The 23,897-nt window shown below is 39.5% G+C and overlaps 1 protein-coding gene, 1 long non-coding RNA gene and 1 pseudogene across 3 annotated transcripts in view; 2 read left to right on the top strand and 1 right to left on the bottom strand.

Annotated features, from left to right (window-relative positions):
• LOC105374482 (uncharacterized) overlaps positions 1-1,797 on the bottom strand; it is a 41,073-nt gene extending 39,276 nt beyond the window's left edge. The window contains exon 1 of the long non-coding RNA XR_925387.4: positions 1,715-1,797. This is a non-coding gene — a long non-coding RNA (uncharacterized LOC105374482). The remainder of the gene's footprint in view (positions 1-1,714) is intronic.
• The window catches only part of CLNK (cytokine dependent hematopoietic cell linker), a 248,452-nt gene extending 243,937 nt beyond the window's left edge, over positions 1-4,515 (top strand). For both annotated transcript variants that reach the window (XM_011513775.3, NM_052964.4), the window contains exon 19: positions 297-4,515. In XM_011513775.3, the coding sequence (XP_011512077.1) occupies positions 297-443 (147 nt within the window). In that variant the 3' untranslated portion in view covers positions 444-4,515. The remainder of the gene's footprint in view (positions 1-296) is intronic.
• Positions 11,978-12,383, top strand: RIDAP2 (RIDA pseudogene 2; annotated as a pseudogene).

Below are 23,897 nucleotides of genomic sequence, written 5' to 3'. Positions count from 1 at the left end.
GCTTGTAATCCCAGCTACTTGGGAGGCTGAGACAGGAGAATCACTTGAACACGGGAGGCGGAGGTTGCAGTGAGCCGAGATTGTGGCACTGCATTCCAGCCTGGGTGACAGAGCAAAACAACGTCTCAGAAAAAAACAAACAAACCAAAAACCACTTCCTGAAACACCTTTACCATACAAACATTGTTAAATTGGTTCACCTCTTCCCCATGCAAAATGAAGCACCTTGGCTATACTTTAACCTACAGACACAAAAGATATTTTAAAAGTCATTAACTTTCTTTTCTGTGTTTCAGAAGTTTGATTCAGTAGAAGACATCATCGAACACTACAAGAATTTTCCCATTATACTAATTGATGGGAAAGATAAAACTGGGGTCCACAGGAAACAGTGTCACCTCACTCAGCCACTCCCTCTCACCAGACACCTCTTGCCTCTGTAGCCTGGTCTTTGTGTTATCTTTGGTTTACTGGATTCAGCGCTTCCATTGTTTTCATTGATTTCAAAAGTTTATTTTCTGTGCCTTCAAGGGACAACTTTTTTAACTTTGGAGAAAAGAAAAACACTCTATAACAGAGAGTGGAAAATCACTCACGGTTTTGAAAGTTCAAACCACAGAGAAAATATTTATAACATGCAAAAAATAAAAACATTCTAGTAACTGGCCACTGGAAAATAAATAAAAATAAAAACTAGGGTTTTAAAAGTATCTTCTAAAAAACAACAACAAAAAATACTATAAACATAGCCATTATGCTCATGATACAGGCGAGCAGCAAAGGGCACCAGAAGCTGTTGCTTAAATGTTTGCAGTCAGTGCAAGACAAGTCTATGGGAAATTCCCAAATCTGTGCTCTTTACAGGACACTGCGCTGCCTTTATGTCAGTTGTTGGGCCTTACATATATACAATGTGTGGATGATTTCTTACACTAAAGATGCTGGGCTGGGTGCGGTGCCTCATGCCTGTAATCCCAGCACTTTGGGAGGCTGAGGTGGACAGATCACGAGGTCAGGAGATCAAGACCATCCTGGCTAACATGGTGAAACCCCATGTCTACTAAAAATACAAAAAATCAGCTGGGCGTGGTGGTGGGTGCCTGTAGTCCCAGCTACTCGGGAGGCTGAGGCAGGAGAATGGTGTGAACCCGGGAGGCGGAGCTTGCAGTGAGCCGAAATCGCGCCACTGCACTCCAATCCAGCCTGGGGACAGAGAGACTCCGTCTCAAAAAAAAAAAAAGGTGTTGGGTTGGTGAATATTAGCTCTCTTTTATTGTAATCCTAGAAATTCAAGTATAGGGAAGAAATGTGGTATGGAAAACCAGCAATTGTGAATGTCACCTTGAAGACAGAAACTGAAAATCCTCTGACTAGGGTGTGAAACGGTCATGGGACCAGCCTCCAGCATCATCTGCTTCAAGTAGCTTTAAGTCAAATGGAATTAACACATTCATAGTACAGAGCTCAGATTATATCCTACACTAGCCTTCAGGCAAGCATATGTCTGAGGGAAACTAAAAATTGTATTAACAATTCCAATTATGGACTTCCATTCAAAGACAGAGAAAAACTGTCCTCAAATTAGTGCTAATTCTTGCAGTAACGTTGCACAGGCCATGATATTATTCCCTGTAGAGGTTAAGAGGATTTAATTTTATTATTGTTTTACAATAAAGATGAGGAAACAGAGGCTCGAAGTAGCTATTGATCTTACTCAATATGAGAAGAGAGCCCAGATTGTAATCTGCTTTGCCTGGCTCCATGCAAGCTCATCTTCCCAGGTACATTCTCTGCGCTGTGACATTTTACAATCAAGTTGAAAAGCTAATTTAAAAAAAAAGAGAGAGAGAGAGAGAAAGATAGAAACAATTTGAAAATACAGATTTACCACCTTAAAATAAATAAACTCTTCTAGTGGGAATAAGCTTTTTTAAAAAACATACTGTCTGTCGAAAATAACAGTATATCATGATGTCAAATGCTACCAAAGCTTACAAAGGAAATTCATAGAGTATTTATGTAATTGTAGCATTGATGCAGAAAGAAAACCAAAAATAATTAAAAGGCAATAGAAGCAAATGAAAACAATAAAAACAATGTGCAGGATTATCTCTTTTGTAAGACAGCAGACAATGAGCTCTCTGGGAAAAGCTCTTAGCATCTACCCACTATCCAAATACCTGCTCAGGTGTTCTCCTTTCACAAGGTCAATGTGAAGTGATGCCTATAAGTTACATCAGGAGCATTTAATGAAGAAGCTATTTGTAAAGCTGGAACTTTTGAGACCCAGCTGAGCCTATCGTAGAGTATGCCTGCAGAGGATTACATAGAACCAAGAGACAAGAGTGTTTAAATTGGAGCTTGGATACGAAAGAACTCACTGGTCCGGTCAAAGCTAAAAGCTGTATGGTTGCTGGTCATTCTCTACTGGAATTCAACAAGCCAGGGACAGTATGGAAACAAGGACTTTACAGAAGAGCTCCAGGCTCACATTAAGAAGGAATCTGACCCTCACCCTAAAAAGCTATTGGGAGATTACTGATACCTCCAACTCACTGATTCATTGAGGCCATGCCATTCAATGCTATGTTCTCAAGAAATGTCTATGAGTCCTCTCAACCATTGCTGTTGATAAAATAGGTGAATGTCAAGTGGGGGTTAGCATTTGATAAGGTGTACGTTTGAAATAATATTTTATCGTCTCTTGTTCACAAATACAACATATAATTCCAAGAAGAAAAAAGAAGTAGAAATTCAGCATCCTTAAGATGACAGCAAGAATGAGGGGAAAAGGAAGAAAAAAAAGAAATTAAACATCTTGCAATAAAAAGCTTACAATATTTTTGTGTATTTGAACACTTCTGTAAAAAATATAAAATGGAAAATACTGACATGGGCTGCTTCTGGTGATTGGGGTTTGAGGGATTGGGTGTCGGGTTTTCTAGAACTCAGACACCAGGACAAAGTTAGAAGTGCAAACACTGATTGGAGGTTAATGTTTGAGAAAGATAAAAGGGAGAAGAAACAGAAGTATGGGTATGGGGTGGGCTTTCAGGCTCCCACCTGTGAGAGGGAAGAGGGGAGGTGTGGGGAGTGAGGAGAAAAAGCATGAGATTCAGACACAGCTCTGGGAGAGTTTTGGCCAGCTCATAGTGAGGCCCAAAGCAAAGTTTGCCCAGAGAGGAGACAGTGTTATGCTGGGCAGTAATGTCTGGGTCTTAGTGCCCCATCCTGTTAAGTCATTGTCTGGGGCTATCCTGGGAAAAAGAAAAACAACAAAAAAAAAAGACCTGCAAATGCTGTGGCCAATCCAGAAGGCGCAGCTGGACGCTGTCCACTAACTTGCTGGCCAGCAAGTTATTTCAATGGAGACTCAAGAGACCCACCTCTGGCCTGCCACAGCAACATCCTGAATTCACTGTTTTCAGTGTTGATTGTAGTAAGGACAATCACATTTACATTTTGCTTGTAATGGATGATTAAATAATAAGAGTATATAAATTCGATTGTATTTGTTTCTTACAACACTTCTGTAAAGAAGAGAGGGCAGCTATTTCTAATGCATTTTATAATTGAGGAAATTGTACCTCATTGGCCAAAATCTCACAGTGACATAGTCGCGACTGGAACCAAGGTCTCCATATGCAATTATCCTATTCATGGTCTACCTGCTTTATTAGATCTGTAATTGAATATTCAATGATTTGGATTTGGCATGCCCAAATTCCAGTGTTTTAATCCCTTTTCAACCATTACCTCACGTTTAGTTTAAAAGTATCACTTGATATCTGATTTCAATAGAGTAATAGAATTTTAGCTTTATCCAATTACAGCATTTATGCTTTCCAGATATTTTTTGGACTAAATAATTCTCATTCTGTATAAATGTGCATAGCCCTCATCATTAGTCATATATTGTGTTAGCACCTTTGTGTACTGCATGTGTATTCATTACTAAGCACTATTGTAGATGTTGAAAATAGAGCAGTGAATAAGAGAGATAGATGACAAATAAATATACAAACAAATAAGATAATCTAAGTCAGTTTCCCATTACTGGATTGGATTTCTATTTTAACACTTATTTCTGAGTACTTGTGGGGTGATGCCAACATTAAATGTTTTGAGGAAGCTCCTTTGAGATGGCTTTGAAAAGTCCTAAGTGAGAAAATTTAAAATTTTCCCAAACTTATTTATGTGGGGTGTGCATGTGTGTGCCTGTGCCTGTGTGCGTGTGTGTGTGTGTGTTTTTAAGTAACCGCATCATGGCTGTAATCAGTTAAGTCTCCTGTTCTAATTACTACGGAGGAATCAAATGAACCCCATTGTCGAATGTAGCCAATTATGTATGTGTGTACACAAATACAAATTTTTATGATAGCCTATATTGTATATTAGCATTATATTTGTATATCTTTTTTATTCTGAGCAATATTTGTTCTAGCTAAGCACATTTACATTCATAATTTACAGCCTTACTAATGTAAATAAAAGTAAATATGTAATTGAATGTTATAATTTTCTCTGTCTCTGAGTATTGAAGAAAGAAATTCAAAACATAGTTTAATTTTGTTTCATGCCCTATTACCCCTAAAGCTCTTTTGAAATTATATTTAGGGCAAATTTAGGATAAAATTACCAGAACAATTATTGACATATGAGCATTATGCTAGACTTTGGAGATAAAGACAAAAAAGACACAATCCCTGTGATTGTGAGCTCAGAGCCTGGCCGGAAAGATACACATGTAATAACCATCTTAATATGTGTAAGTTAATATCTCATTGTGGTTTTGATTTGCTTTTTCCCAATGATTAGTGAAATTGAGCACCTTTTCATATGCCTGTTGGCCATTATCAAAAAACAAAAGATAACAAATGTTGGCAAGAATGTGGACCAATGGAAACCCTGTACATTGTTGGTGGGAATGCCAAATGGTGCAGCCACTATGGAAAACAGTACTGGGTTTCCTTAAAAAATTAAAAATGGAACTATTATATTCAGCAATCCCACTTCTGTATATGTATCCAAAATAAATGAAATCAGGATCTTGAAAAGATATCTGCACACCCATATTCATTGCAGCATTATTCACAATTATTCCAAGATATGGAAACAACCTAAATGTCCATCAAAAATGAATAAATGGGCCAGGGATGGTGGCTCAGGTCTGTAATCCTAGCACTTTGGGAGGCCAAGGTGGGCAGATCACTTGAGGTCAGGAGTTCGAAACCAGCCTGGCCAACATGGTGAAACCCCGTCTCTACTAAAAATACAAAAAAAAAATCAGCTGGGCATGGTGGTGGGTGCTTGTGATCCCAGCTGCTCGGGAGGACGACACAGGAGAATCACTTGAGCTCGGGAGGTGGAGGTTGCAGTGAACTGAGATCATGCCACTGTACCCCAGCCTGGGAGACAGAGCAAGACACTGTCTCAAAAAAGAAAAAAAAAATGAATGAATCAATGAATGAACAAAATATGTTATATACATACAACGGAGTATTATTCAGCCTCAATAAAGAAGGAAATCTTGGCATATGTGACAAGGTGGATGAATCTGGAGGACATCATGCTAAGTGACATAGCCAGGCACAGAATGACAAATACTGCATGACTCCACTTATATGAGAAATCTGAAATAAACTCACAGGGACAGAGAATAGAATAGTTGTTGCCAGGAGCTGTGGGGAGAGGGAAATGGAGAGTTGTTGTTCAATGGGTATAAAGTTTCAGTTATACTAGGTGAATAAGTACTAGAGAGCTGCTGTATAGCATTGTGCCTATGGTCAACGAAAATGTATTACCTACTTAAAATTTTTTTAAGAATGTAGATTTCATGTTAATCATGTTAAGTGTTCTTACCACAAAAAGGGAGATGGGGCAGCAGGAAATGTTTGGAGGTGATAGATATGTTTATTGCCTTGAGTGTGATGATGGTGTTATGGATGTATGTGTATCTCGAAACTCATTAAATTAGATACATTAAATATGTCCAGTTTTTTAATATACCAATTATACCTCAATGAAGCTGTTTTATTTTTATTTTTATTTATTTTTTGTGAGACTGAGTCTCGCTCTGTCACCCAGGCTAGAGTACAGTGGCGCGATCTCGGCTCACTGCAAGCTCCGCATCCCGGGTTCACGCCATTCTCCTGCCTCAGGCTCCCAAGTAGCTGGGACTACAGGTGCCCACCACCGTGCCCAGCTAATTTTTTTTGTATTTTTAGTAGAGACAGGGTTTCACCATGTTGGCCAGGATGGTCTCAATCTCTTGACCTCGTGATCCACCCGCCTTGGCCTCCCAAAGTGCTGGGATTACAGGCATGAGCCACCGTGCCCTGCCATTTTTTTTTAAAGCTCATCAGCTATCATTAGTATTAGTGTATTTTACGTGTGGCCTAAGATGATTCTTCCAGTGTGGCCCAGGTAAGCCAAAAGATTGAACACTCTACTTCAGGAGTACAGGCATGTTGCCCATTATTGGGTACTCCTGTTTTAGGGGCACTATTCTAGGCCATGGGGAATGAAGCAGTGACTACCTGTTTGAAGGGTAAGTGAATACAATAGAAGCAGCATCTGTAGAGAAAGGACAGATAATTTATTAAGTGGTTCTGGTTAAACTGGCTCACCATATAGAAAAAATACAATTATGTCTCTACCTCAAATCATATAAAATATATTTTACATGAATCAAATACTTAAGAGCAAAAAGCAACTATTAAATTGAGTCTTACATCTTTGTCTAATAATTTTTAAGACTTTGAGATAGGGAAAGAGTTCTTAAGACAAAAACTTAAATCATCAAGGGAAGGATTGATAGATTCATTACACCAAAATTTAAAATGTTTACAAAAGTTAGACAAAGTCAAAAGGCAATTAAACAACCTAATATGTATGAGCAAAGGCTGTAAACAAGTAATTCATACACACTCACAAAGCTGGAATGTCTTAACTTATGCACTCCTGTAAGTTAAGAAAATTAATAACAATTAAGTACAATTAAGAAAATTAATAGGCCGGGAGCAGTGGCTCACGATTGTAATCCCGGCACTTTGGGAGGCCAAGGCGGGCGGAACATGAGTTCAGGAGATCAAGACCAGCCTGGCCAACTTGGTGAAACCCCGTCTCTACTAAAAATACAAAAATTAGCCGGGCATGGTGGCACGTGCCTGTAGTCCCAGCTACTTGGGAGGCTGAGGCAGGACAATTGCTTGATCCCTGGAGGTGGAGGCTGCAGTGAGCCGAGATCACGCCACTCCAGCCTGGGTGACAGAGCGAGACTCCATTAAAAAAAAAAAAAAGAAAACAAAACAAAAGAAAATTAATAAACAGCTAGCTAAAATAATCAAAAACTTAAGTAGAAGGACACATTACTAACAAAAAAGACAAAACAACAGATACTACAGACATTGAAGGGATATTAAAGAACTATCAGAAGTGCTTTTATTCCAGCGGAGTCGAAATAGATAACTTTACAGATGAAAATCAATACAAGAAGAAATAGAAAATTTGAATGGCCCTTCATTGTTAAAAGAAACGAGAAGCTTTCCCACGAAAAAGTCTCTAGACCAAAATGAATCCTAGCAAACCTTTTTAGAAACTAATATCGAGTCAGGTGAGAAGCAAGCAGAGCTGGTGTAGAGGCTTCTTCTCCCAGAGGGGCCTCAAGAGAGAAGGGTTAGCGATGGCATCCTTGATTAGAAAGATCACACAGGCCTGTAAGTTAAGATATCCAGCTTTGCTATTGTGTTTCTATTACAGCTGGTCGGTGATGCAATTAACAGGGGATGCCAATAGCCACTGTCATGGAGCGAATGACATGGAGCCTAATGGAGTGGATGACATAGAGCCTAATGGAGCAGAGTGGGAGATGGGGTCTGGCTTCCCTGGTCCCTAACCCCTCAGCACTAGACAACGGACCCACACAGAGGGAATTTCAGCCTGAATGCTGAGAGGCCTGAAGAGTGAGCAACCCCCATGAGAATGGCAAATGGGCTTCCTGGCTACCTATTTGTGATGGTTAATACTGAGTGTCAACTTGATTGGATTGAAGGATACAAAGTATTGATCCTGGGTGTGTCTGTGAGGGTGTGGCCAAAGGAGATTAACATTTGAGTCAGTGGGCTGGGGAAGACAGGACCGCCGTTAATTTGGGTGGGCACCATCTAATCAGTTGCCAGCATGGCTAGAATATAAACAGGCAGAAAAATAGGAAAAGAGAGACTGACCTAGCCTCCCAGCCTACATCTTTCTCCCGTGCTGGATGCTTCCTGCCCTCAAACATCAGACTCCAAGTTCTTCAGTTTTGGAACTTGGACTGGCTCCCCTTGCTCCTCAGCCTGTAGACAGCCTATTGTAGGACCTTGTGATCATGTGAGTTAATACTTAATAAACTCCCCTTTATATATATATATATTTGTGTGTGTGTGTATACACATTTATTCCATTAGTTCTGTCCCTCTAGAGAACTGGGACTAATACAGATTTTGGTACTGGCAGTCCATAAGATGAAAGTAAAATGAGCAAATGAACCCTAGAACATTCCTCAGTGCTTATTGGGAGGCCTGGCAAAGGATGATTACCCAGAAGACTCCCCAGCATTTCCAGGCTTCATGTGGTTCTGACAGCTACTTCTACAATAGCAGCCAGAGAAACGTTAATTAAAATAGCAACTACATAGCACTTTCACCCATCACACTGGGTGAAATTAAACATTCAGATAATGTCAAAAGCTGATGAGGATGTACAAAATAAAATTTTCATCTACTAGTTGGAACATCAATCGGTATAGCATTTTGGAAAGCAATTTAGCAGTATTTAGTAAAATACAAAATGTATGCACCCACTGTAATAAGGCTTCCAATTAAAACATAGCTAAATAAGAGGCCAGAGTGGCTCACACCTGTAATCCCAGCACTTTGGGAGGCCGAGGCAAGCAGATCACTTGAGGTTAGGAGTTTAAGACCAGGCTGACCAATATGGTGAAATCCTATCTCTACTAAAAATACAAGAATTAGCTGCACCTCCTGGGTTCAAGCAGTTCTTGTGCCTCAGACTCCTAAGTAGCCGGGACTACTGGTGTGAGCCATCACACTCAGCTAAGTTTAAGGGTAAATAGTGACTCCAATTTCCAAGCCTTTCCAAGTTTTCATAATGGGAATCAGCTTCTTTCTTATTAAACTTCCTCCTACTTCTTATTTACTATTTTAGCTTCCTCTATTTTGTTAACTCAGTTATCATTTGTCCATTTAATTTCCCCTCATCCAAAATTTTGTTGACATCTGTCTTCTTCTTCCATTTCCTTTATCCTACATTCTTACTTTTTTTTTTTTTTTTTTGAGACGGAGTTTTGATCTTGTTGCCCAGGCTGGAGTGCAGTGGCATGATCTCAGCTCACGGCAACCTCTGCCTCCCAGGTTCAAGCGATTCTCCTGCCTCAGTGCTCTTATCTTTTCAATTCCTTTATTGATTTTGCCACTGCACTCCAGCCTGGGTGACAGAGTGAGACTCTGTCTCAACAACAACAACAAAATATAGCTAAATAAGGACATAATTTTGATCCCTGTAGAAACTCAATTATAATCAGGAAGTTCAATAAGAACCAAACTGATTCTCATTATGAAAACTTTGAAAGGCTTGGAAATTGGAGTCACTATTTAACCTTAAAAACTGGTAAAGGGCCTGGGGCGAAACGAAGAGTTATTTATCAGCAGTCATTGTAAGAATCCATTATAATCAACACATCCCTCACCCAGGAACCAGAGGTTTACTTAGTCAGGATGTCAGCCTTCCCCAACCCTGGCAGCCATCAAGACAATGCATCTCCAGGAAATATTTTGAAATAGGCATGTAAGATACAGTTGAAAGTGGGAAATGGGTGCTGTGCTGAAAAATGGAGTTTAAGTGAAAGTTTCATTACGAAAGTTTAGAACCCCAACCCCTTTTAAACATTTGATTCCAAGGAAGAACTGATAGAATTATAACCCTAAAACAAGAGAACAGAGCAGTTCTGCTACAAATGCTGATCCTTCCTAAAGGACATCAAAGAATAGACTCCTTCATAAAAGAGCAGATTCCCACTGTCTCGTGCTGCAGTGGAGCTCATCCATGCACGTACAAGTTTCGATTCACATGTTCGTGCCTCACTCTTAAATGTGAACACTGAGAAGCTTGAAGGAAAGCTTCTAATGGGAAAGACATGTTTGTTTGTTTGTTTGTTTTTTGTTTTTGAGACAGAGTCTTGCTCTGTTGCCCAGGCTGGAGTGCAGTGGTTCCATCTTGGCTCACTGCAACCTCTGCCTCCTGGGTTCAAGCGATTCTCCTGCCTCAGCCTCCCAAGTAGCTGGGATTACAGCCGCCTGCTACCACCCTCGGCTAATTTTTGTATTTTTAGTAGAGACGGGGTTTCACCATGTTGGCCAGGCTAGTCTCGAACTACTGACCTCAGGTGATTCACCTGCCTCAGCCTCCCAAAGTGCTGGGATTGCAGGTGTGAGCCACAGTGCCTGGCCAAGACATGTTTTAAAATGCTACAAACCAGAAGAAAAAAAAAAAAAAAAAAAGGAAAACTCAAGGGAGATAATATGGGATGCTGAAAAAAAAAAAAAAACTACCAGGAGAAATATAGTTAATTTCATGGAGAGATAAGCCATTGAAACCACACAATATGAATAGAATACTATTTAAATAAATACATATTCAGAAGCAAAAACTGAGAGCACTGAAAGGGAAAACTAAGTATATTTGGAAATTTTAACACACAACTCACAGAAACTGATAAAGTAAGCAAATAAAAATGAATAAGGATATATAGAAAATTTTAACACCACTATCAACCAACTAGACTTAATCGTCATTTACAGACTAGTTCACAAAACAACACAAAACAAGTATAGATACACATTCTTTTCCTAGTCCACATAGAATATTCAAGAAGAGCCATCTCCCGGGGCCTAAAACATATCGCAATAAATGTTAAGGAACTGAAAAAATATAAAGGTTATATTCTGTGAGCCAATATATATATATATATATATATATATATATATATATATATATATATTTTTTTTTTTTTTAATGAGACAGAGTCTTGCTCTGTCACCCAGGCTGTAGTGCGGTGGTGCGATCTTGGCTCACTGCTATCTCTGCCTCCCAGGTGTTGAAGTGATTCTCAGCCTCCCAAGTAGCTGGGACTGCAGGTATGTGCCATCACGCCAGGCTAATTTTTTTGTATTTTATTAGAGATGGGGTTTTTCCATATTGCCCAGGCTGGTCTCAAACTCCTCGGCTTGGGCAATCCGCCTGCCTCGGCCTCCCAAAGTGCTAGGATTACAGGCATGAGCCACCACGCCTGGCCAATATATGCATTTTAAAAAATAATTAAATAAAAAATAATAACAGTAAGATATTTAGAAAAATCTTCAAATATTTGAAAGTAACACATTTTTAATTACATGGTCAAAGAAGAAAGCAAAACAATTAATATTTCATAATGAATGATAATGAAATGCCATTTACCAAAATTTGAGGAATGCAGCTGCCCTTGAAATACAAAGACTCAGTGTAAGCATTTATGGCTTAAAAGTTGGTTCTTTAAAACAATTAAGAAAATTAAGAAACAGCTAGCTAAAATAATCAAAACATAAGAACACACTAACCAATAATAAAAAATAAAAGACAACACAACAGATACTACAGACATTGAAGGGATATTAAAGAAATATCAGAAGCACTTTTATTCCAGTGAAGCTGACAAAGATAACTTTACAGATGAAGGTCAATACAAGAGGAAATAGAAAATCTGAATGGCCCCTCAACTTTAAGACAAATGAGAAGCTTTTTCACAAAAAAAAAAAGCTCTGGACCAAAATGAATCCTATCAGACATTTTTAGAAAATAATATCAACTCAGGTGAGAAGCAAGCAGGGGTGGTGTGGTGGCTTCTTCTCCCAGAGAGGCCTCAAGAGAAGGGTTAGCTATGTCATCCTTGATTAAAAAGGTGATCAGGACTGCAAAAGCCCCCAGGGTCCTTGGGCCATATGGCCAAGGTGTGTTAGTCAACAGGACCATTTACATTTCAGGACAGCTAGTCATGGACTCTTCAAATGCACAGCTTGTGGCAGGAGAGGTAGCCAAAGCAGCTAAACAAGCTCTTACAAAAATGGGTGAAGTTCTGAAGACTGCAGGCTGTGACTTCACTAATGTGGTAAACAATTTTGCTGGTGGACATAAATGACTTCAGTACTGTCAGTGTAATTTACAAACAGTACTTCAGGACTAATTTTCCAGGTAGAGCTGCTTACCAGGTTGTTACTTTGGCCAAAGGAGTCTGAATTGAAATGGAAGCAGTAGCTGTCCAAGGACCTCTCACAACAGCATGACTGTAAGTGGACCCAGTGTTGTTTCGTCTGGAACGTTTAATCTTAATTTTTACAACTAATGTAACATCTTAATTAACATCTTAATTTTTACAATTGATGAAAGTGTAAGGTTTGACTAAAATGCCTGAAGTTATTATGGAAATACTATATAACAGGGACAGTTCAACATAAATTAGAGATTAGATCAAGAATCCAGTTACTGATATTATTAATGTATACCTATATTACCAAATGTAGGAAACAGATACTCATTACATAGTTATTCAAATAAATGTAAAGACAAATAAATGTTAAAGAAAGTAAGTTATTCCTGATACATAATAAAAAGCATATCTAATTCAAACTAATTTAACGATATGAAATACTTAGTTCTCATGTCAAATATATGATTCCGCTTTTACTTGAATAAAATTAAAGTATTTAATGGTAATGGTCAAAGAGAGGAAAATAGACCAAAAATTCATATAGACAATACTTTTCTTTTCTTTCTTTCTTTTTTCTTTTTTTCTTTTTTTGACAGAGTCTCACTTTGTCACCCAGCCTGGAATGCAGTGGCATGATCTCAGCTCACTGCAACCTCCACCTCCCAGGTTCAAACGATTCTCCTGCCTCAGCCTCCCAAGTAGCTGGGATTATAGGCATGTACCAGCACACCTGGCTAATTTTTGTATTTTTAGTAGAGACGGGGTTTCACCATGTTGGCCAGGCTGGTCTCGAACTCCTGACCTCAAATGATCTGCCTGCCCTGGCCTCCCAAAGTGCTGGGATTACAGGTGTGAGAAGGGTGGTTTGTTTAAGTAAACATTTCTAGAACAACGGCTTATCAAATGGGAGCAGCAGCGGGGGAGGTAGAGCTTTCCTTTTGACTATATAAAAATAATGTCCATGACAATTAAATGTTTAAATATAAAAATATAAAAAAAGGTAGAAGATCTAGGACAATGTTTATATGCCTCTGGCATTGGTGGCAGTGGTATGTGTGTTGGGGGGACTTCTTAAGCAAGACAGGAAACTCAAAAAAATGAAAGGAAATAAAGAAACATTTTACTATGCAAATATCTACAATTTGACAGGCGGCAGTACATGAAGTCAGAAGACAAAGAACGGGCTGCAAAAAATATTGGAAGCACATATGTCCAATAAAGGATTCCTACATATTATACATAAATAACTCCCATAAATTCATAATATAAGGACAAATAACCCAGCTGAAAAATAGTCAAAGGATAAAAATAGTCATTTTACCGAAGAGGAAATCCTGATGCTCACAGACCTATGAAATAAGCTCAACTCCATAATAATCGGGGAAATGCCGAGTTTAACAGTGGGTTAAGATGTTTTTCCCTCAATACATGGAAAAACGTTCAAAAGACTTGTTGAACCCAGTGATAGTTGGGGAATGATGGGAGGGCAAGACAGTAGGTTCCATAATGTTTTCAAAACAATGAACACTAAAATGACAGCAACTTTGTGAAAATTAATCTGGCAAACTCTTTTAAAATAAAAAAATATGTATCCTTTTGTTTACCAATTCTAGTTCTGGAAATTTATCCTTTAGAATTAAATCCTATAGAATTAAAAGCATATTTACTGAAGTAGGGAGTATATTGGTAAAGTGTGTTTATTGAAGCATCATTCGCCAAGTGATAAGACAAAAAAATAAAAAAAAGTTGTTAACAAATCAATGGTTAAATTAACTTGAATATACCCTTGCTGTGGAATATTATGTAACTGTTTAAAAAAATGCTTTGGGGGCCGGGCGCGGTGGCTCACGCCTGTGATCTAAGCACTTTGGGAGGCCAAGACGGGCAGATCATCTGAGGTTGGGAGTTCGGGACCAGCCTGACCAACATGGAGAAACCCCCGTCTCTACTAAAAATACAAAATTAGCTGGGCATGGTGGCGCATGCCTGTAATCCCAGCTACTCGGGAGGCTGAGGCAGAAGAATCACTTGAACCCGGGAGAAGGAGGTTGCTGCGGTGAGCCGAGATTGCACCATTGCACTCCAGCCTGGGCAACAAGAGCAAAACTCCGTCTCAAAAAAAAAAAAAAAAAAAAGCTTTGGGGCTGCATCAATTTTCCTATTGGAATATACATTATAGAATGTTGAGTGATTAAAGAACCTTACAGAAAGATGCATGTAGAATTAGTCTATGTTTGTAAAAACAACTCTGTACTGTGACTTTTTAAAAAATGTCGATGACTTTTAAAAAAATTAGTTATATAAGAATACACTAAATAATTAAAATTTGTTAAAGGTGGTATGGGGATATGTTTGAGAAAGGACAAATGATTTGGGGATACATAAGAGAGAAAATGATCGTACAACATGAAACATACTCTGGCATTGTGTGACAGGAAGAGTAAACTAGAAAATTCTGTTAATAGAATTGCAAATGTGTAAAACTATGTAATGGCGTACCTTGGAACATTATCTTAATTGGTTATTTTTTAAAATGTCATTCTTTGTTACCAAGCCTTATAATGCACCCATCTAAAATGATGTTATCTATAAAACTCAATTTACTACTAATTTACTAGCAGTCAACACATTTCTGCAGTCTCTCATGATATTTGCAAGCAATTACCATTTTTTACTCGAGTCCCTTTCTAAACATATACACAACTCAAATTCCCCATTATATCTTCCATTAAAAAGAAAAAAAAAACTGAAACTTTTTTTTTTTTTTGAAGCAGGGTCTCCCTCTTTCACTCAGGCTGGAGTGCAGTGGTGTGACCCTGGTTCACCGCGACCTCTGCCTCCTGAGTTCAAGCTATTCTCCTGCCTCAGCCTCCCGAGTAGCTGGGATTACAGGAGCCCACCACCATGCCCGGCTCATTTTTTCTTTTTTTTTTTTCTTTTGTATTTAATAGAGACAGGGTTTCACCATGTTGGCCAGGCTGGTCTTGAACTCCTGACCTCAAATGATCCGTCCTCCCTGGCCTCCCAAAGCACTGGGATTACAGGCCTGAGTCACGGCGACTGGCCTGCTCATTTTTTTTCTGCTGTCTTTTGGCAACATATCCTACATTTTTAAAGAGTAACCTTTAAGAGGCCGGGCGCGGTGGCTCATGCCTGTAATCCCAGCACTTTGGGAGGCCGAGACGGGCGGATCACGAGGTCAGGAGATTGAGACCATCCTGGCTAACATGGTGAAACCCCGTCTTTACTAAAAATACAAAAAATTAGCCGGGCGTGTTGGCGGGCGCCTGTAGTCCCAGCTACTTGGGAGGCTGAGGCAGGAGAATGGCGTGAACCCGGGAGGCGGAGCTTGCAGTGAGCTAAGATCGCGCCACTGCACTCCAGCCTGGGTGACAGAGCGAGACTCCGTCTCAAAAAAAATAAACAAATAAATAAATAACCGTTAAGAGTTTGGAAAAACTTCAGTTTCAAAATATTATCCAAATCCCTGTAACAAAAATGATCAGATTTAAAATGGTAGTTAAAATTGAAATTCATATGACAAAAATAAGTATTATTCATCTTTAATAAATTAAAATCACACATATTGAGGACCTGTTATGTATCAATAGCTTAATCACCTTATTTAATCAATAAGTGAGATGCTGTGTCATCTTTCTTTACTTTTCATGGAATACCTGGGAAGTGGACTTTATTATTCCTGATTTGGATTTTGTGATTACGGCTCCTCACCTGCACATGGCCAAATATGAACAATTAAGAGAGCTTTATCTTTAGAAATACCACCACCCTCTAGCTAGGTTCTCTAGACTCACAGGGGAAATATTCAATGAAAATTTTACTGACCCTGAGACCGAGGCACCTCACACAGACTTTGGCGGTTCACAATCTAAAGATAAAGTAAAATAATAATAAAGGTAAAGCTTCTGGACGTTTCCAAGTTCTCTGCACTTTCCTTGTCCTGCTCTACCATCTTTTGCCTATATTAAAGCTCTAAATGAGCACACCCTCTGGGGTCTTGTGAGTCCTTTCAATTGCCCAATGCTCCCACTCTAGTGACTCCCTTGAACATTGAACTTTAAGTCAACTAACTTGTGTTGAAACTGACCATGTCCATTCTCACAACAGGTGTAGGAAAATGGCTGTCATTGTAGTCAGGTACCCTCTCAGGTATCCTCATGGAGTCACGTTCTTCAAAGGGTGGCTCAATCCTCAGGCCCAAAGGGCAAGTCCAGACGAGGACCAGCTATAGAATTTGCAAGGTCCAGTGCAAAATAAAAATGGGGGCCCTGTGCTCGAAAGGTATTAAGAAGGTCAAGATAGTGACGGCAGCATTAAACCAAGTGCAAGATCCTTCCAAGCACGGGATCCATGTGACTGCACAGGTCATCAGCACACGGTGCCAGTTCTGGGCCTGACTGAAGCACCACCATAGGCTGTCATTCTTTATAAAGAGACGGAAAGAGGCCAGGTGCGGTGGCTCACTCCTGTAATCCCAGCACTTTGGGAGGCTGAGGTGGGTGGATCACCTGAGGTCAGGAGTCTGCGACCAGCCTGGCCAAGATGGTAAAACCCTATCTCCATTAAAAATACAAAAATTAGCTGGGCATGTTGGTGCATGCCTGTGGTCCCAGCTACTCGGGAGACTGAGTTAGGAGAATCACTTGAACCTGGGAGGCAGAGGTTGCAGTGAGCCGAGATGGTGCCGTTGCAGTCCAGCCTGGGTGACAAACCGAGACTTGTCTCAAAAAAAAAAAAAAAAAAAACAGAGAGGCACAGGAAGAAAAATATTAAGCTTCCAGAAAGTTTCTCACTACACACAGGCAAAGTCAGGCTCTTTTCCTTTTGAGGGTTGCACTGTCTGGAGGGCTGGGCTGCTGCCATTAGCCAGAGGACAATAGTGTTCCACCATAGAAGGTGGCAAGCACAGACAAGAGGAGCTGTACTTTTATGGTGGTCTGAAGTGTCTGATTAACCAACCCTGAGGTTTCCCTTTCCACTGGACCTCATGAGAGATGAGACTATACATTTCCTTAGTGTTTAAACCAATGTGGAGTTTTCTATTCATTAGAAGTGAAACCATTCATTTCAACTCATACAAAGGCTTTGCAAAATAGCTACGATTATTTTCCATTCTAGAGATGTGGACACGAAAATACAGGGAGACTGCCTTGCTTCTAAGTCCTAAAGCATACTTGATAAACCTAGAAATTAGTCCCAGCTCTGCCACGTGATGCCTGTCATCCCATATGAATGGTAGCCCCTGGACTTGTGCAGTGTGGCAGCCCTGCTCTAAAGACTGTGGTTTCTAACTCCCCACACTTTATACCTCCCAGTATGAAGGCAGAGCCCAAATCCAATACAATATGAGAAGCTAAGCAATTTCTTCAGCTGCGTGGGGACGTAGGTTTTTCAAAAAGATTTCCCCCTTGGAGGCAGAGGTTGCAGTAAGCAGAGATCATGCCACTGCACTCCAGCCTGGACGACAGAGCAAGACTCCATCTCAAAAAATAAAAAAGAAAAAAAGATTTCCCCATTGATATAGAAAATCTTTTTTTTTTTTTTTTTTGAGAGGGAGTCTCACTCTGTTGCCCAGGGTAGAGTGCTACAGAGCAAAGACTCTGTCCAAAAAAAAAAAAAAAAAGAAAGAAAGAAAGAAAGAAAGAAAGAAAGAAAGAAAGAAAAACAAAGAAAAAAGAGAGAAACTGAATTGTCTAGTCTTGCTTGTAGCTCAGTGTGATCATGTGACCATGTTCTAGTCAACGGGAAATGAGTAGATCTAGAGTACATATGGCATCCAAAAATGCCCTTATCAGAAAAGGCATGCAATTCTTTGCTCATTTCCCCATTCTATTGACTGGAATAAAGGGATGAGGGGCCATGGCTGGAGCTGGAGGTGGAGCTGGAACAGCCATCATGGACCATGAAGTGCAGGTCACTTCCTGAGGATGGTGGAGCAACAAGGCAGAAGGAGCCTGGGGTCTTCCTCATCATGGAGCTGCCATACCCACTTGCCTTCCTTACCCCTAACTTAATGTATTGAAGAGGAAAATACACTGCTATTTTGTGTTTTATATTATTCACAGCCAAACTCAACATGATCTGATGAAGTACTGTTTGGGAATGAAAAGGATGGGAGTAGGCAAAGCATGAGCTAACATGGTATGAAAAATGAACAGCACAGCCGGGCACAGTGGCTCACGCCTATAATCCCAGTACTTTGGGAGGGTGAGGAGGGTGGATCACAAGGTCAGGAGTCCGAGACAAGCCTGGCCAACATAGTGAAACCCTGTCTGTACTAAAAATACAAAAATTAGCTGGGTGTGGTGGCACGTGCCTGTAGTCCCAGCTGCTCGGGAGGCTGAGGCGGGAGAGTTGCTTGAACCTGGGAAGCAGAGGTTGCAGTGAGCAGAGACCACACCATTGCAATCCAGTCTGGGTGACACAGTGAGACTCCGCATCAAAAAAAAAAAAGAACAGCATGTTTTGGATGGCTTGCAAATTCAAATAATTTAGCAGAAGCAAAAATTTGCAGTGAGAAGTCTATAGAAGAAAAAGAATTACTCTATCTCTCCCAACCCAACCCCTTCAAAAATTCCCAGAAAAAAAGTGATGGCCATTGCATCTCCTACTACAAGTGGGATGCTCTCACGATTTTTATTTGAATCTCAGAGTAAAGAGTGATGTATCTTCTCCTCTTGCTGTCTTTAAAAGAGCTTTGAGGCCGGCTGTGGTGGCTCATGCCTGTAATCCCAACACTTTGGGAGACTGAGGCGGGTGGATCACCTAAGGTCAGGAGTTCGAGACCAGCCTGGCCAATACGATGAAACCCCGACTCTACTAAAAATACAAAAAATTAGCCGAGTGTGGTGGCAGGCACCTGTAATCCTAGCTACTTGGGAGGCTGAGGCAGGAGAATCGCTTGAACCTGGGAGGCAGAGGTTACGGTGAGCCGAGATGGTGCCACTGCACTCCAGACTGGGCAACAAAAGCGAAACACTATCTCAAAAAAAAAAAAAAAAAAAAAGCTTTGAGTGCTCTGCATGCATATCATGGTTCGTGGTGATTAGACAAGCATATGCAGAATCAGACACTTAACCTGGTGTGCTATTTACTCCCCACCATCATGTTGATCAGCATGGAGTTTTGAACTACTTCTTTATAGTTATTTTTAATGAATATCCATACTGACTAACAGACAAAATGAAACGGCAAAGATATTACTGATGCAAGAAAATGGAAGTAAAAAAATGACAATTTACAGCATTTTCAAGCATCAAGGTGAACTTTTCTAGCTACCGGAGTTCCAGGTATGTGATCCAAATTCATATGTAGCAGATCAAGATTTCTCCAGCAATTAAAAAATACAAAGAGAAATTATATCCTATATTATCATTTTATCCAATTTGGCTTTGAGGTTTTTGGAAGTAAAGACTCTCTACACCAAGAGTGTTTTATTTGCAGAGAAGTGTTTGCAAATACCTCTGCATGAAATTCTTTTTTATCATTTAGAAATAAAGTCATGAAAACTAGAGATAAGAAACCACTTTTTCTTATCTCTATCTTTTTCTTATGTTCTTTTTTTGATTTATCAATTTTAGAAATTCTCCATTCTGCTATAATAGACAAAGAATTGCTTCTTTTATGTGAATCATCACTTCCCCTCCATGAAATTATTTTGTACAATTATTTCTCTTTGTTTTTCTCTTTTGGTTGCCTTTGCAAGTTGAAATAAGATATTCAAACTTTAACTTCTTTTTTTCATTATAGACACAGCATCTTTTGCTCCTGGCTTTGTAAGATAATCCTCCGCCCAGTGCCTTTCCTTCAGTCGTCTTCCCTTCCATCTCTTGCCTCTGTATTCTCTACTTTTACATCTTCAAGGCTGAACATGCATATTCTGCTCTTTAGCATAAGTGAATCATTGCCTCTTGTTTCATTATGTGGATTATAAAAGTGGAAGTCAAAGTAGTTACATTATTTTGATTATAAGCATGTGAAACTGGCCGGGTGCAGTGGCTCAGGCCTGTAATCCCAGCACTTTGGGAGGCCGAGGTGGACAGATCATCTGAGGGCAGGAGTTCGAGACCAGCCTGGCCAACACGGCGAAACCCAGTCTCCACTAAAAATACAAAAAATTAGCCAGGTATGGTGGCAGGCGCCTGTAGTCCCAGCTACTCGGGAGGCTGAGGCAGGAGAATCGCTTGAACTCGGGAGGCAGAGGTTGCAGTGAGTTGAGATCACGCCATTGCATTCCAGCCTGGGTGACAAGAGCGAGACTCTGTCTCAAAAAATAAATAAATAAACAAACATAAGCATATGAAACTATTGTTGAATTTCTAATTTTCATGGGGAGTTTCTACATACAGGTTTTTCTTAATTACTAAACAGAAATATATTTTCAAATTTTTCCAATGTCTTTATTAAACAGAGTATTCTAAAAGGCTCCTCTTGTTCTCTCACAACCGGCAAATTACCAGCAGACATGTTCTTCCTCCAGTGGTCATCGGCATGGGTATCTATACCTGCTCCCCAGGGGTCATCCTATGATTTTCCCTCATGCCTTTTCTCTTTCCTGTATTAAAATCCTGGATACTAGAATCCCTTGGCTTATTTACTTACTTTATTTTTGCCAGAAAATACCTCAAATAATTTACTAAGAAATAGTAGTGTAGGAGGTAAGCTTTCTGAAGCCTTACAGCCTGAAAATGTCTTTTTCATTCATCACACTAGGTCAGTGGGTTATTCTAGGTTGAAAATAATATTTCTCCAAACCTTTGAATGAAGAGCTCTGTTGTCTTCTTAGCTCAGTGTGGGTGAAAATTCTGATGCCTGTTTCTCTTTCCTTTATAAGTAAACTGTTATAGAGTTTGTCTTTATCATTTGTGATGCTGTATCTAGATATGGATATATACATATTTATTGTTCTGTGCAATAAATGCAGCCTTTCAATGCAGAGATTCATGCTCTTCAATTCTGGACTTTGTTTTTGTAATCTTTTTGTTCTTTTTTTTTTACACTATCTGTTTCTATCACCATCATCATGACTATATTATTATTCAGGTATTGAAACTTCTGGATTTATCTTCTCCATCATTCAGTCTCTTCTCTCATATTTTCTACCTTTCTTCCATTTCTATTTACTTTCTGGAAGATTTCTTTGACTTTATCTTCCAAAATGTACATACTTTCCATGACTCTTTATCTCATTGTCTTCTGGTTGTCCCTTTACTATAGAATCTTGCACTTTATGAATGCATTGTATTCTCTAATCTTTCTGAGGATGCCACTTAGGATTTCTTTTTCATCTGAGGTCATTTGTTCTCTGGCTTTCAAATGGGAGTGTTTCCTCAAATGTCTGGTGATCCTTGGTTGACTTCTGCATAGTATAATGAGAACATCAAAAGCCAGTGGGAGATTAGGGTACATAGCAGCGCCCGATGACTGGCAAGCTTTGCTTTGGGTTGATTTGGTGGAGTCACTACTTATGTTGAGAGATCCCTGAAAGTCTGCATGTGGATTTCATGCTTCTTGAGGCACTCTATTCCCTTTTTGACTATAAGGCATTTCAAAATATCGTCACAGCATTTAACAATTATCCACATAGTCTTTACCCAGCTTTAGATAATGTGAATGTCTTACCATATTGCTTTAAATCTCCTCCTTTTCTTCCAAAATAAAACAGAAACATGAAGATATACTTAAAGTCACCTCTGCCTTTCTGCTAGGCCACATTGTCCTCCTTCTTTCCTAGAGAACACCACAATGCTGAATTTTGTGATGACCATTTTGATGAATATTTGTGTATTTTACTACATATGTATTATCCTTAGAGTACTATTTTATGTGGTTAATTTCATACACACATAAGTATATACATGTGATATGTGTGCATATAGCGAAATGTAAAATAGTACTTTTTTTTTTTTTTTGAGACAGAGTCTCTCTCTGTCCCCCAGGCTGGAGTGCAGTGGCACAATCTCAGCTCACTGCAACCCCTGCTTCCCAGGTTCAAGCAATTCTCCTGCCTCAGCCTCCCGAGTAGCTGGGACTACAGGCGCATGCTACCACGCCCAGCTAATTTTTGTATTTTTAGTAGAGGCGGGGTTTCACCATGTTGGCTAGGCTGGTCTCGAACTCCTGACCACAGATGATCCACCCGCCTCGGTCTCCCAAAGTGCTGGGATTACAGGAAAATAGTACTCTTATTTAAGTATATATCACATACATATATAATCACATACATATATGTGATTACAGACATATACATACATGTATGTGATTACAGACATATACATATGTGTGTATAAAGTTGAACACATAAAATAGTACTCTAATTATACATACACATTATATAATACAACAAACAATATATAATTGTATCTATCAATCTATATATAATTATAATACATGCAGAAAATAAAAAATAAAAATTTTTTTTGAGAAGAACAAAAAAAGATAAAACAAAAAAATTATAATTATAATGCATGCATATTCTGCAACCTGCTTTTCACTCAACATCATATTTTTGATATCTGTTTTGAGGTGCATAATCTAATTCATTTCTGTGCTGTGTGAGATTCCATTTTATGACTATACCATGAGTATGGTTCTCTATTTCTGGATATTTAAGGTATTTCCAATTTTCTGGTGTTTAGTCAGTGCTGTAAGGAATATTCCATTACAGATCTTTAGAAGATGTATTGGAATGGAGAGATAATAGAGGAAGGGCTACTGGTAGAAGAGATAACGAAGACCTAAACTTGACAATGGTGGGATGAAAGAGATCACAGAAATTTTTTGAGGTTATACATAATACTTGGTGATTCGTCAGAAGTAGGGGTGAGAATGGAAGTGGCACATGAGGGAGAGGAAATAATTTAAGATGACTCTTAAGTTTCTGCCTTGCATAAATAAATAGATCTTTGAAACACATCCCGATATAGGGCATTCACAAGTGTTGACTGGACTAGTGGGGTGGGCAGAAAAAAAAGTTCCATTTTAGAAACAAGTTTATAGTTTGTATGACCATGAGCTATTCAGTCGGAAATTTCCCGTGTCTAGAGAAGTTAAAGTACTTTCCAACTCTATGATTTCATGGAGCTATCTCTCTTGGCTGCTTTGGTAAGCAAAAGCACGTTGGGCATTTAAAAAGAGGGTTCTATTGGTATAGCAGGCTGAATAATGACCCTCCAAAGAGTTCCATGCCCTAATCTCTGGAATTTTATGTAGCAAAAAGAACTTTGCAGATGTAATCAAGCTAAGGATGTCAAAATGGGGAGATTATCTGCATTATCCACGTGGGCCTAAGGTCATCACGAGGGTTTTCATAAAAGAGTGATATAGTTTGGATGTTTGTCTCCTCCAAATCTCATGTTGAAATGTAATCCCCAATGCTGGAGGTGGGGCCTGGTGGGAGGTATTGGATCATGGGAGCAGATCCCTCAGCAATGGTTTAGTGCCATCCTCTCCGTGATGAGTGAGTTCTCACTCTGTTAGTTCACATGAGATCTGATTGTTTAAAGGAACCTGGCACCTCTTCCTCTCTCTCTTGCCCCAGCTCTTGCCATGTGACATGCTGACTCCCCTTTGC

Source organism: Homo sapiens, chromosome 4, assembly GCF_000001405.40.
Source record: "Homo sapiens chromosome 4, GRCh38.p14 Primary Assembly".
Classification (NCBI taxonomy): domain Eukaryota; kingdom Metazoa; phylum Chordata; class Mammalia; order Primates; family Hominidae; genus Homo; species Homo sapiens.
Note: the sequence above shows the minus strand (reverse complement) of the source record. Positions and strands in the feature narration are given on the sequence as shown.